Source organism: Homo sapiens, chromosome 2, assembly GCF_000001405.40.
Source record: "Homo sapiens chromosome 2, GRCh38.p14 Primary Assembly".
In the NCBI taxonomy this organism is placed as follows: Eukaryota; Metazoa; Chordata; class Mammalia; order Primates; family Hominidae; genus Homo; species Homo sapiens.
Window position 1 is genome coordinate 18,323,371 of NC_000002.12, and position 15,543 is coordinate 18,338,913.

At 39.6% G+C, this 15,543-nt stretch overlaps 1 annotated feature.

Moving 5' to 3' along the window:
* Positions 8,598-9,234: an enhancer, noted in NCBI's record as "H3K27ac-H3K4me1 hESC enhancer chr2:18513234-18513870 (GRCh37/hg19 assembly coordinates)". NCBI's record gives its function as "activates a minimal SCP1, AML or CMV promoter by ChIP-STARR-seq in primed H9 embryonic stem cells {active_cell/tissue: H9 hESC(primed)}" and the evidence as "EXISTENCE:reporter gene assay evidence [ECO:0000049][PMID:30033119]".

The following is a 15,543-nucleotide window of genomic DNA, read 5'->3' on the forward strand; positions in this document are numbered from 1 at the left end:
AGGGCTTTTCTTTCTTAGTTAGAAGCAAGGATGTAAATAATTTCATCCAGCTAAAAATTTTAATTCTACTCCAACTTCTCCTTTTTATGCCCATTGTTCTTCAAAGGAATAAGGTCATCATTCAGAAGACATGACTCCCAGCGTCTGTGACAGCATTTCTTCTGGTGCAACCCATCTTTAATAGCCTTCTGATTTTATATATTGACCCAGTTTAGGGAATGAACCCTTATTACATGTCCACTATACCTGGCATTACATTAGGCATGATGCATTTCTGATCTCATTCAATATCCACCACAATCTTTTAAGAGAAGGGGCATAAACTGCATTTTTATATCAGAGAAAACTGAATCTATGAGTTTGCAAGAAGCGTGACTAAGCTATGTAATGAGAGAAGGAAAAAGTTGACATTTAAAACCAAGTCTGTGGTTTCTTCCATTACATAACCCTGCCATTCACTTTTAGGAAGAATTGAGGTACCCTGCATGTTCACTGCTTCACCCCAACTCTAGAGTGCTTGCACTTTCAAAACTTGGCCAAGTGACCCAAACATCTCAAAATGCATTTTTTAATTGTTGTGGTTTTTAAAGTGCTGAAGCATTGGTGTCATTATTATTATTTTTTTCCCAAGACAGAGTCTTGCTCTGTCGCCCAGGCTGGAGTGCAGTGGCATGATCTCGGCTCACTGCAACCTCTGCCTCCCAGGTTCAAGCGATTCTCCTGCCTCAGCCTCCCGAGTAGCTGGGATTACAGGCATACACCACCAAGCCTGGCTAATTTTTGTGTTCTTAGAAGAGACGGGGTTTCACCATGTTGGCCATGCTGGTCTCGAACTCTTGACATCGTGATCCACCTGCCTCAGCCTCCCAAAGTGCTGGGATTACAGGTGTGAGCCACTGCGCCCAGCCATGGTGTCACTATTTTTGACCATAGGCATAGTCTGTATCTTTTATTTATCAATATCCATGGGAAGATTAGAAATATAGCATTAAGAGATCTCAGAAGCATAGTACAGTGGAAATATTCAGACTTTGGAATTAGACATGCATTCGTTCCAGTCATTATCTATTTGACCATGAGCATGTTGCTTGATCCACCTAAGTCTCAAGTTCTTCATATATAAAATGGGAGAAGTGGTAAATGTCTTACATGACTATTATAAGAATTAGACAAGATAATAAACATAACATCACAGAATCTGACACATAGAGACATGCTTTAAGTAACAGACCTTATATTAGGACTATTACCTTCTTGTTATCAACATAGTAGCTTTAAATATATGTATAATGTGTACAGATAGATAGTATTCAAATACAATTCAAATTGTTCCTATTTCATACTAGGCTGTAAGCACCTGGACACAGAGTCAAAGCTGTGTTGTCTGCCACTGTATTCTCAGCCCTTAGCAAGTACTCAGCATATAATAGGTCCTGAGTAAATATTGGATGAATTGTGGATGAACAGTAATTTATGACACCTAGGTTCACGACCTAGGACTTTATTAGGCACTCATCAATTTCACAATGTATAAAATATAAACCTGGGGCTAGAAAATCTACAAAGTTCTTAACATATAAGATGGAACATTTGAAAGTTGTTCAAATGAAACTCATGAGGTATTGTGAGCATCAACTAAGAACATTAAAGCGAAACAAGAGACAGAACATCACATAAAACCACTCTTTCCTTTGATTATCTATTTAATGGCAAGAGAAAACATAATGACTTTTCAAGAGTGAATTTGAGGTCATCAACTATATTAATTGAAAAAAAAAAAACCCGTCCATCTGATGGATGTGAAATGAAATGTAGATAATGTATACTTCTGAAAGAAATGATCCAAGATGCTGAGAAAGGGTATTTATTAGCCGCCTTTAATGAGATGTGGAGAGGAAGAATGAGTTGGTCAGCATTACTGAACAGAGTGCAGACACGTGTTTGCCTGATAGGTCTGAGCTGAAGTTTTGCTGACTCAAGAGCAAACAAAGATCTACAAAATATTCATAGTTATTGTCGTACTATTATGTTTATGGTCCAGAATTTTCTTATTGATTGTACTTTTTAGATATCCTATGTACACATATCATCTTTACCTTATTATATATTATATTCTTTGAGATCGGGGATGATGTGAGCAGTTTTATGTATTCTTTACAGTTTTAGTGTAGTCACAATGAGACTGAAAACTTTAAAGCAGATATAATTATTTCCACCTTGTAGAATATTTCAGAGGTATGAATGACCCTGAAATGTAAACACTTACCTTGGTGCTCAGCAGTTCAGTGAATAAATTTACTGTTATTATTGTTGTTAGTATAATTATTGGTATGCCAACAACATATTGAAGGTTTGCCCCCTTGATTTAGTCATCCCTCTTAAAGACCTTTTAATAGAATAGCAGAAATTAGGGAGGCATAAGTGGAGGAGAACCATAAAACAAATATTTCCACTGATGATGTTCTCATATTTTCTCCACTCCCTAGTACTTTAAGCCCTGGTGTGTTATGTCAGCGTCAAATAAATTGGCTAATTAAAAGCCCTTAATTTGCTTCCTCCTAAAGAAGGATTTTTCCCCTCTCTGATTTGAGTCACTGACATATTTGGGCCTTGATACTTCACTTCTTGATGAAGACAATGTTTTCTAGTGCATGATGCTTCCCTTAAGCAGAATTTTAAGTACTGCTCTCCCGTCTTACCCTCCACCCTCACTGGGAATGAGACTTTGCAATGTTCTGTTTCTGACCAGGATATGTTCTCTGGAATCTATTACTGGATTGCTTTTCCTCTGTGTATTTGAAACTTAGGTGTATATCAAAATAACTTTGCCATGAAAAGCAGCATATTTAGTACTTGTAACTCACTCTAATTCAACTTTACCTCACCTCAATTCTTTTGGAGGATATGATAATGCAATTTCATGGATCTTATTGCTTTATTTTAGAGTGTACATATTTAAGTACTTAGAACTATTTAAAAGAGATGCATATAAAAAAGCGATAGATAAAAACATACCACACAATGACATTTTGTTGAAAAAAATTATAAGAAATTAGTTATGGGAAGAGAATCCTTTTTGATTTATTATTTTTTCTCCTCTTATTATAACTTGATGCTCAAGTTGCACAAATAATTTTGAGATATTTGTTTGACACGCAGGTGTTGTATCCATCACAAAATACTTATTTCTTTCTTTCACTAGTATTTTTGAAACCATGGCAACAGAGTATATTATTGCCTAGTCCAGACTGTCACAGGAGAATGCATTGCTCTTTTCATATAGTGAAATTCTGTTTAGGGAATGATCCAATCTCAAGAAAACCAATCTATGTTTCACCCAGACAGCCTTTGTGTTACAGCAGAGCACTCAGCTGTTGAATACTCCCCACCCTACATATTTTCCCTGCATATGCCTGGGGAGCAAGGATATTTCCAAATAACTCTTCCCTGGGGTGAGTGTCTGTAAATGGAAAGGCAAAAGAGGTAAAGGACATGTTGAGTACTAAGGTTTCCCCTTACAGAACTTAGAGTAAGAAACATGGCATAAAAATGATTCAGCTGAAGTTAATAACCTAAGGCATTGGTGCCTTTTGGAGTTAGAGTCCGTTTGGAGTAAGTCTGCTCCTGCCCTTCCACAATGTCACCCTCTGAATGATTTCAGTTTGTTCTTTTGGCACAGGCTCAAGCTTAACGTGCATCCAGGAGAACTCCACTGAAAAGTGGAATTTGAAGTTCTATGGACATTCAGGATGTTTGGTGTTTTTGAATTACTCATGGGATAATATCCTCCAGACCCTGATTATTGAATTTTTTAAAGGTCCATTTTCTGCTTTATAGAGAGTCTGGTATACATTTCCCAGGTTAAGATCTGGTAGAATTTTTTATGAACATCAAGGACATCTCATTACATAGAAAAACTGAAGGCAGTATTTGGACAGTTGTGGAAGCTCACAAGTTACTTGCTTGGCTCTCTTTCCTGGCTGCTTTAAGACCCCCTACTTCATACCTGCATACTTAGCCCACAGAAAGCTCTGCTACTAATACTATTCCCTGTGATAGCTACTGGTGGACGGGGGTGGGCGGAGTTCCAACTAACTTTGAAGTGAAATCTTTATTAATGTCACTATGATTTGCTTTTCCTGTTCCCAATGTTCCATCTCATCGCTGAGAATTCTAACCAAGTTTGTTTAGTTGTAAGAAACAGTGATCTCCTTCAAACACCTCAAATTGTAAAAATAAAAGTGAATTATTCAAAACCAACAGTCATCAGAAACCACAGCAACTTCAGCAGCCAGCTATTCTTCTGTGCTCCCTCAGGGCCGCCTGCTTTCTGTTTGTAATGGCATCTCTGCTGTCTGTGAACCTATTTCATTCTCTACTCTCTGCTGACTAGTGAGTGTCCTCTAGTTATTCATATTTTTTGCTTCCTTATAATTCCTCCCTGCAAGGGAGGCTTGCCTTGGTCTTAACTTTACCTCTGGGCATCCTTTCTGCTTCCGACGCTACCAATAGCTAAATGCTTTTCAGCTATTTGCTTCTGTAAATTTCTGATAAAGGCCCTGTTACATTTGTGTGCAAGGCTGCAAGTTTCTATGTAGTTGCTAACTTTTCATCCTTGAATCAGGTGTCCATCCTTGATTCAATCATGGTTGGATGATGGAACGAAGGTCTTGTGATACTAGCCATGGTGATTCCGTCCATCTCTGTCACTTGGCAGGGATGTGGGTAGCCAGTTCCCTTAGAAAGACCAATATGTTGTCAGCAACAAGAAGCACACTGAGCCATTCAACACAGGTTCAAAATACCATTGTGAATTTGGCCTATTGGGTGCAACTTTCCTCATCTGTAAGTAGGCCAGTGACAGTATCTCAGGGCTTTTGTAAAGATTGCAGATGTAAGTGAGTAGCACAATGTTTTCCATTTTCAATCAAGAATTCTATGATTAGTTGAAGTAGAAGTGTTATTAGTAATAATAGTTATATAATTTTAGTAGTAATAGTTGTAGTGAAAAGAGTAGTATTTTAGTAGTAATAGTTATAGCATTTGTAATAGGAAGTAGTAGGAATAGTGGGAATAGCTAAAAAGAACGAGTTTAGTGGAGTTCTGGCCAGGAGGAGAAGCTGTGTCTTTTTGCTCTTGCTACGTTTCTACCTCAAAGACCTGGCCAGAACTCCAGCTTTTCAGACCAGATCAGCAAGTGATGAAAATAGAGCTCAAGCAAAATTAATAGGGGAGAGAGAATTGATGTGTTTGCTTTTATAACTGAAGAGTCAAGGCATAGTCTGGCTTCAGGTGGTGGGTCTAGAGGATGAACAAATGTCATAAGTATTCTGTAGAGACCTTTTATCTTTCGGCTAAACTTTCCTGTGGGTTGATTTTACTCTTAGGTAGACTTCCCAGACATAGCAGGAAAGATGGCTGTTGGCATATATAGTTTTATCTTTTTAGCTATTCATCCTAGAGGAATAGTGCATACCTTCTACTCACCAGGCAAGCACAACACCTATAAAAGACTTCATTCTGGCTGGATGCTCTGACCATTCATGAATCTGTTACTATGGCCATGATCAGTGGGGATTGGGTACTCTTGCGTGATATGGGTTTCTAGGTCTGAAAGTGGGTTGTGGGAAGGCTTAGTTCCACTTAAATCACATGGAGTTAAAAATGGAATTAAAATGGCTAGCAGATCCTCAATAGCAAGTGAAAAATAGGAGCAGAAAAAGAGCAGGTGTCTACCTCACATGACTTACAAGTTGCTGTAAGGTTTCCAGGAGATGATGCATACAAATTGCTGTATCAAGTAGCTACCTTATAAGTAGATATATGATTAACAGTTATCCTTACATTTTTCTTCCATCACATTTCTTGCTGTTATGTCACATTTGGCCTCAGCCCCACTTTTTAAAAAAATCATATTCCTTGGTATAAATTAGATGACTACTTGGCATTGATTTTAAATATCAGATAACAGTGGGTTGAAGCCTTAAAGGTTTCTTTTTTTCAACCCAAAAACTCTGACCTGAGGCCTTGTTAAAGGCTGAGACATTGATCCATATTCTGAGTTACACAGCCCCAAGCCCCAAAGTCAACTCTAGCGTCTCTGTCTTGCCTGCTTCTGCCCGTCTGTCAAACAACTTCTTGAACATTTTCTTGTTTCTACCCCTACCCTATATATTTTATGCATTTCCTCCACCTGTTCCTATGGCTAATACCCAAGTTCAAGCCTTCATTGCTGCTGCTTCTTTTTTTTTCATTTTTGTTGGTTTCTTTTTGAAAAAGGAGGTAAAATTTATGTAACTTAATCCACTTAAAGGAATACAATTCAGCGGCATTCAGTACATTCACAATGTTGTATAGTTATCATCTCTATCTACTTAAAAACATGGTCATCCCAAAAGGAAGCTCCATACCTATTAAGCAGCCACTCCCCTTACCTTCTTTCCCACAGCCCCAGGTAACAACTAATCCACCTTCTGTCTCTGTGGGTTTATTTATTCCAGATATTTCATATAAATGGACTAATACAATCTGTGATTTGTGTGTTTGGCTTCTTTCACTTAGCATGCTGTTTTCAAGGTTCATCCATATAGTAGCTTGTATCAGTACTTCTTTCCTTTTTATGGATGAATTGTATGGATATAGCACATTTATAAAAATTCATTCATTCGTTGATTTTCCATTTTTTTAACCCTTACCTTGGCTATTGGTAGAGCCTCCTGTCAGGGTGTCTCTATTGCTTAACCACAAGGAACAATGTTCACTTTGTATTCTGGATGAATAGCGCTTCCTGGGGATGTCCAACACAGGGACTCTATTCCTACCAGAAGCTTTGTCACACCTTATCTCAAATGCATGGCAGCTATGCTGTCTTTCTACCTTCCTAAATCTCATTTTTGATCATATCACCCCTTACTCTAAATCTGTTGATGATTTTCTATTACTTATTTGTCAATTACAATAATATTAATAGCTATAATCTATTCAAAGTTTGCACCATTTTTCATACTGTTTACATGAATACACATTTAATTATCATATATATGTATATATATTTTTCTCATTCTACAAGTGAGGAAACTGAGTCACAGTATAATTAAGAACTTTTTCAAGTTCACACAGAAGGAAAGTGTTGGAGCCAAGATAGGAACTCTACCAGTAGCAAACAGATCCTAAAATGACTCCCAGTAATCTCTACCTCCAGGTGTTCATGCCTTTCCATAATCCTCTCTTCTTGAGTCCTGAATGTACCTGTGATTTGTTTCTAACCAGTAGAAAATGACAGAGGAAATATTAGGATGGGATGGGATGTCACTCTGGTGATTGCATTATGTTGTGTGAGTCTGTATTTAGCAGGCTAGAGCTAGAGACTCCCCTTCCAATCTTGATGAAGTAATTGGTCATGTTGGAGAGGCACACATGGCAAAGAATTGTAGACAGCCTCTAGGACTTAAAGGTGGCCTCTACCCTCCAGTCAGCAAAAAGCCAGGACCCTTAGTCAGGGAGTTACAAGGAACTGAATTCTGCCAAACCCTTAAATGATTTGGGAAGCAGATACTTCCTCAGTCAAGCCTCTAGATGAGAATGCAGCTTGATGAATGTCTTGATTACAACTTTGTTGTGGGACCCAGTTAAGTCATGCCCAGAGTCCAGATGCATGGAAAGTGTGTGATAATTAATGTATGTTTTAAGCTATTCAGTTTATGGCAATATATTACACAGCAATAGAAAATGAATGTAGATTCTGGTAGCTGAAAGTGGAATACTGCTGTAACAAATACATAAAAATAAGACATATTGAGGAATATGAAAAAGATTAAAGCGTTTGAACAGACTGTTAGTAGAAATCTAGATTTGGAGGACACTGCTGATGAGGACTCAGAAAGAAATGAGGAACAAGTTATTGGAAACTGGAGAAAGAAGTATACTTGTTATGTAGTGACAGAAGCATAGCAAAATTGACTCCTGCAGTTAGACAGAAGCAGGGTTTGTAAATGATGAGTCTGGATCTGTAGCTATGGGGGATTTCTCATTTATTTATTAGAGACAAGGTCTTTCTCTGTCACCCAGGCTGAAGTGCAGTGATGTAAACCTGGCTCACTATAACCTCAAACTGTTGTACTCAAGCAATCCTCCCACCTCAGCCTCCTGAGTAGTAGAGACTACAGGAGCATGCCCCCACACCTGGCTAATTTTTAAATGTTTTGTAGAGACAAGGGTCTTGCTATGTTGCCTAGTCTGGTCTCGAACTTCTGACCTCAAGTGACCCTCCCACCTCAGGGTACCAAAGTGCTAAGATTACAGGCGTGAGCCACCATGCCCAGCTGCTAGGGCCACAGCTCTTCTCTCCTCCTGTTTGCCTGCAATGTGGTGAGCAGGGGGCATGTTTCAGCCCTGTTTGTGTTACAGTAGCTTTTTTAGTCTAGATTAACCTAATTTGGCAATAAAGCTCCTCTTCATCTTGCTCACCCTTCACTTGTTTGCATACCTTATTCTTCCTGGTCACAGGACAAGGACTCAGATGAAGAGGAGCTTTATTGAGCAATAGAACAACTCAGAGAAGACCAGCAGTGGGCAGCTCTTCTCCATAGCCAGGGTGTCCCGATGAGCGTTCAGCTCCTAGCAGAGAGGGTAGTTCCTCTCTGCAGGCAGGTCCTCCCAACAAGTGTTCAGTTCTCAGCAGAGAGAGCTCCTCTCTCCAGCTAGTTGTCTTATCATCTACAGCTCTCAGCAGAGAGGAGGCCCTAGAGTGGTTGGCTCCTCTCTGCAGGCAGGTCATTCCATCATCTCTGCAGCTCTCAGCAGAGAGGAGGCCCTAGAGTGTTTGGCTCCTCTCTACGGCTGGTCATCCCATCATCTCTCCATCCTCTGCTCTGCTCTGGCTGAGCCCAGGACTTCTGTGGGCCTCAGAGGGGAGGAAGTGCATGCCAGTTGGTCCATGGGTGGCCATGGGCAGGCCAGAAAAGGCACCACAAGTCCCCAATCTGGTCCATGGGACTGGCAGCCCAGCTTCCATCCTTCAGGCCCTCCCTGGCTTGAATTGGGGCCTCAGAGGGGACCTGTCCCCTTCCACCTAGGAGCCCGTCTGCCTTCTGCCATCATTCATAGTGCCCAGGCTGCTCGTACCAAGTGACACCTTCAGGCCAGGGCCAAGCCGCCCTCACCCCCCTCCTTGGCTTCCCTCACCCTCGCATTTGTTGGTGCCCAAAGTCTGGAGGGGGCTGTGGCAGCAGGGCCCAAGCATGCACACACCCAGCCGGGCTGTGACAGCACCTGAGCTTGGCCCCAGCCCCACTCGGAGATGGAAGCAGGTGCTGAAAGTTGGGAGAGGCCAGTCAGTGGGAGCAGGCACATCCTAGCCTGGGGGGGTCAGGGCTCCTGCCCACGCTACTGGCTGGTTTCCTGAAGTGGGTGCAGCTCCTCAATCTTGGCCCCAGCTCCAAGCCCTGGGTCTGGGCCCTGTGCTCTGTGTGCAAGTGCAGCCCCACCTGGGGCCTAGCTCCACCTCAGGGCCCCTCTCTGCCCAACCACATTGCTCTCCTGGCGGGCTGCTCCCCTACCAGCAGGTGATGTGGCCTGTTCCCATTGCAGTGGCCCCAGGGGGCTGTGTGCCTCCTCCTCAAGCCCTCCCTGCAGTGGCCAGTGTGATGGCAGCAGCCTCTTGAGGCAGTGCCCAGCTGCCATCAGTACTGGTACAAAAACAGACACATAGATTAATGGAACAGAATAGAGAACCCAGAAACAGAGCCACACACCTACAATCATATGATCTTTGACAAAACTGACAAAAGCCAGCAATGGGGAAAGATTCTCTTCAATAAATGGTGCTGGGATAACTGGCTAGCCATATGGAGAAGAATGAAACTGAGTCCCTTCCTTTCAACATACAAAAATTAACTCAAGATAGATTAAAGACTTAAATGTAAGACCTCAAACTGTAAAATTCCTAGAAGAAAAGCTAGACAATACCCTTCTTGACATTGACCTTGGCAAAGAATTTTTGGCTAAATCTCCAAAAGCAATTGCAACAAAAACAAAAATTGATAAGTGGGACCTAATTAAACTCAAGAGCTTCTGTGAAGCAAAATGAACTATCAACAGAGTGAACAGACAGCCTACAGATTGGGGGAAAATCTTCACAAACTGTGCATCTGACAATGGTGAAATATTCAGAATCTATAAGGAATATTTCCATATTTTTAAAACTGAGTTGTTTGCTTTATTATTAGTGAATTTTCAAATTTTTTGAATAGAAGTCTTTCATCAGATAAACTCTTTGCAAATGTTTTCTCCCAACCTGTGGCTTGTCTATAATATTCTTAACAGCCTCCTTGCAAAAGCAGAAGTTTTTCATTTTGATGAAGCCAAAGAAATTGCAGATTTCTGGATTTGTCAATTTGTGAAGCTCTATTTGTCTGGTCCTGTGTCCTGCAATTCTAGTTGACTTGGTCTCCCCTGGATCTTAGCTTTATTCTCTCTACTCAAGGAGTCTAATGGACTCTGCTTTGTTCCTCACTCCCTGCAGTGTGGCCTGGAAACTATCCCAACACAGTGTGCTGAGGAAGTGGTAGGGATTACTTCCCCTATTTCCCAAAAAATCAGTGTCCTTCGTTAGTTTAGGAACAATGTTCAGAAATTGGTTCACATGTGATTTTGGTCTTCAGATTGTTTCAGACAAGAATGTGACTCCAGCCCATGTGGCTCCATCTTAATCAGAAGTAGTAGTTCTCAATCATAAAGTTCCTGAATGTAGGGAACAGGTCTTTCATTATCTGTGTCCTCCACCATATGTAGTAAAATACCTTGCATATACTAAATATTTGTAGAGTAATTGAAATTTGCTTAAAAAGTGTAAACTAAAATAGTGTCACAGCTTCTTTGTGTATCCATAGCATCTTTCTCTTAAAAGTAGAGTACAATGAAATGAAAATTCAGGTTAGTTCAAATCCTGGACTACTAGGAATTTAGTTACTGACGCTTTGGCCATTCACCCTCAAGGCAGATCTTTATAGCTACAGAACATTTTACATTTTTTGTAATTAATGAATAAACATTATTATTTTACTGTACTAAAATCAATAACAAACTTAATAGCCTTTATGCAAAATTGTTTTAATGATAAGAAAATGGTTCTTAGATAAGTTAGAGTATTCTTTTCAACTTTCTTCTGTCAGTAGTTTTCTTTATCTAATTTATTAACTCTTCAGCACGAGAAATACAAGAGTTTCAATGTTTTTTCCTTTTTAAAATTCATAAAGATTCAACCATACTGACCTATTTAATAAATTGAATGACACATAGTTAACATCCTAAAAAGCATATTCTTAACCAATGTTTTATTATTGGGATAAAAGGCAGAAACTATAACTCGGGTTTTTCTTTTTGTCATTTTATTTGAAGGATGGGATGCGTATAAGGCAATACTCAAACTACATGTTGTTTTTCAGTTAAGTTTGTGCAATAAATGGTATGTATTTCCATTACCTAACATAAGGTCTAGTATATAGTAGGTATACAAAATTGATAGTACTATTTATTATTATCAACATGATAATCATTATGAGTATTAGTGTCATTGGCTATACTGATGAGTTGTAGTGATTCTATTTAATTTTTAATATACATTTTGCCTTCATTTTGTGCTGTGGCAGGGCTGGCTATCAGGGCTTTAACTCTTAGAACTGTTCACCTCGTCTCTCAACACATAGCTCTCACACAAGCTGTTTTCTCTGTCTGAAAAACCTGTCTCCCTCTTCTCCTGGTTACTCCTATTCCTCCTTCAGCTCTCAGATTAAGTGTTACTTCTAGAGGGTAACTTTTCAGAGCACCTAGTCTAAGTCATATTTCTTTACTTATACACTCAAGGAATTGTTTTGTTTAATCTTAATTTGGAACAATAGATTCATTCATGGGACTATCTGGTTAATAGCTGTCTTCTCAACTTAACTGCAAGCTCCATGAGAGTACAAGTCTGGGTTTTGTGCACCACAGTGCTTAGCACATAGTAGGTCATCATTAAAGTATTTTCTGATATGCAAGAAATAAAGATGAAGGATAAAAAGATTTTTGATGTAATTCCACACCTCCCAAAAGCTACTCATGCACAAGAAGGCTTGTATTTGTCAGTTTTCTGTAGCTTCTGTAGAAGGACTTGGTGGGTAGGGCTTACTTCTCAGAGCAGCTTTGCAGTCAAGCATGGGGTGCATGTGCTCCCTCTCTTACATCTGAGTTCTTCTGTAAATCCTCCTTATTTGGGTTCTATGATATCTTTCATTTGTTTCCTTATACCTTCACTACCAGTAGTATTTCTTCTCTCTTTGATGCTTACTGGGCTTGGGTATTTGTTTGGATCAATGGGATGTTGGATGTCCAGCAAAACTGGCTTGCCTCATTTGGGACAACGAAGCTACAGAAAATAACTGACAAATACAAGCCTTCTTGTATTGCTCCCTGGCTGACACTGACTGTGTCTCAGTCTCCCTATTCACTGCCTCTCAGATGCACTGCGCTGAGCACTAAAACCAACTCCCAGGCTCCCTTGCCTTTCATCTCTTCTAATTGAAGACCTTGGGTTTGTAATTAAAATTCCCTTCATGTACTCATGTTGTGATTACATAGCATAGACTGATATCTTTTAAAATAATATTGTGCATAATAAAGTGACATGCACATTTTGAAATCTGTTTTAACTCCATAGTATCATCATGATGGCAGTATTTTGTCGCAATAGCACTTAGTAAGATTTTGCTCTTTTAAATCTCAGAAAATGTAGGCACTTTGAAATAGTTGCCCAATTTTTTACTAATCTCTTCCTTCTATTGGTTTATTTGTCATATGGCTGATGTTGAAAACCCTGGAGAGCACATTCTAAACTCAATTCTTGCTTTTTATAAAAGGGCTAGGGTAGGAGATCTTTACTCTGATTGCATTTCATTTTTTATCGTTTATTTTGGAGGAAATAGGGTAGAGCATGGGGTGAGACTTGAACAGCATTGGTAAGTACCAGAAGTTCAAACAATGTTCCTCAAATTGAAATGTGTCAGGCAATAGAAGCTAGTGAATTACTTGCACTTTATTTTGCTTGTGCACTATTTGTTTGAAGGATATTACTTTAACTCTTACTCTGAGTCAAACATGGTAGTGGATGATTAGAGTTTAAAAAGTTAATTCTACCTTTTCTTTTTAAAGCTCACAGCCTAGTTTGGGTGTGGTTAACATGAATTAAGGAGGTGTTTCAGAGTTATCAGTGAACTTTCTAAAGTGCTTTTGTATGCTTTTTAGGGGATGGGCTCTAAAGGGAAGAGAGAACAAGAGGAATTTGGCTTCTTTTATTACATACAAAAGAAATCTTCAACCCCTTCCTCCCCTCCCTGCCAAGGATTAAGAACTGTTGGTCTAAGATAATATAGACAATGCAAATAAAAAAAGAAGGAATCCTACAATAAGTTCTTAAAAGGTGGTGGTTTGTACGAGATGTCCTTTGTGCAGAGAGGAAAGGGACCTTGAAACTTTCTGGGTGAGTCAGGGAAGACATCAGAAAGGAAGGGGAGCAAATCTATCTGTGCCACTTCATGGAGGGAGCAGTCACCTCTCCCATCCCTGTCCTCTCTTCAGTCCATGGAGAGGAGAACTTCACAGAGATGACAGTTCCATCAGGGAAGATCTGAGGTCTAATAGTTCACTCCTTTCCCGACTTACTAATGCTTCCCCATGGTAGAAACCTCTTATTCTTACTGGTTTCATGGTAAATGCCTGACACATACTGAAACATGCTTGCTTATAGGCAGAACAGCTTTGCTTCAAATGCAAAGGAAACAGGCTGAAACGTGCCTCTTGATGATTCATGGGTTATTGCAGTAGGGCAGTGGGCTATCTTCTGTTTCCTGCCCCCATGCAGTGAGCACCCCTGGGCCAGAGCTCAGGGCCTGAAGTCAAAAGCAGAACAGAAGCCTGCTGCTCTCCTGTAGGTTTCATTCTGGTGGCAACTGGGGTCAAGAAGCAGGCTTTCCATGTTCCAGGTTGATGACTGGGTAAGTGTTCTTAATAGTGGAGGACTGAGCAGTGCACATCCCATATTTCACGTCCCACATGTGGGGATAGAGGGAGGAGGCCCAAAGCCTTCCCTTATTTAGTCATTACCATAGTTCCGTGGGTAAACCTGATAATTTTCTTTGGTCTTCATTTAGTTGTGTCTGTTCAACTGATTTTTGCCCAATGGGTAGAAGGTAGGGAGAGATGAGTGATTAGAATCCTAAGCATTGAATAGTTACTTTCTTACATAAAATTTATCACTTATTTCATTGTCCACAGTAAAAATTTATTACTTAAACCTAGTCCCTTGAGATCTGGGCTGTGCTTTCCTCCTCATCAACTGCTCACATCCTCTATTGAGATTCTTTCATGCACCTAATGTTTATGCTTTTATAATTTTGCTGACTTAGACCTCTCTGCTTGGAATATTTTCCATCGCTTATCCTTGCCCCACAAAATCCTTTCTAAGATATGTCTGTGGAAATCTTTACAAAAGAAATATTATGTTTATGATAATAACTACTGCTATCCAAAAGGCATCTCTCCCATGTAGACTTTTTCTGGCTTTCTGCCCACCCCACCAAGTCCAATGACCACTCCAACACTGGTGGATCCATTGCTCCAAGAGCAGACTTCCAATGCATCAATTGTGCACTTTAGTGTACTCACCAATTTACACATCTGCCTTCTCCTTCTTCACTTTACATCTCTACTGTCCCACATAGTAATAGAACAAATACATTATTGAGAGAAAACCGCAAGGCTGAGTATGAATTTGCCATAAGAAAAAGAGGACAGTTTGGGTAAAATAGGAGTATGTATATGAGGGAGAATGATTTGGGTTCAGGAAATGACAGTGATATGTAGCAAATGAAGCTAGAGGTACACAGTGGAAATGTGTTATTAAAGACAAGATAGGTCAGGCTAAGAGGCGTGAAGGCTGATTTATCTTGTAGATGGTGAAGAGTAAATTTTAGGGTGAACAGAATAAGAATCTTATGTATTAAAAAAAATGATGATGATGATGACAACGATGATGGTGATGATAGCTAAGATTTAGTATTCACTTACTAGGTGCTAAACTCTGTGCTAGATTTACTTGCATATCTTCTGTAACCTATCACTATCCCTATGTCCATATAAAACTAGTTTTTATAATCATCCACATTTTGAAATGAAGAAAACAAGGTTTCGGAATATTAAGTAATTTTTTTAAACCACATAGCCAGTTAACAGCAGAACCACGGCTTAATGCAATGTTTCACACTCCAAAAACTGATTACTTTAACCACTTCACTTTACAAAACAATGTGAGAAAAGATAAAGAACACATTTATTTGCATTCTGATAATCTCAGTAACTTGGAACTTCCAGGCTGGCCATGTACATTAACTGTCTTGATTTTATTTTTATTTTTTGTAAAAGAGTACAGATGAAAACTTCCATGAGATATGTGACAAACTTTCACAAAATCAAGGAAAACAATTATGTAATAAATGTTTATGCAAATTTAAT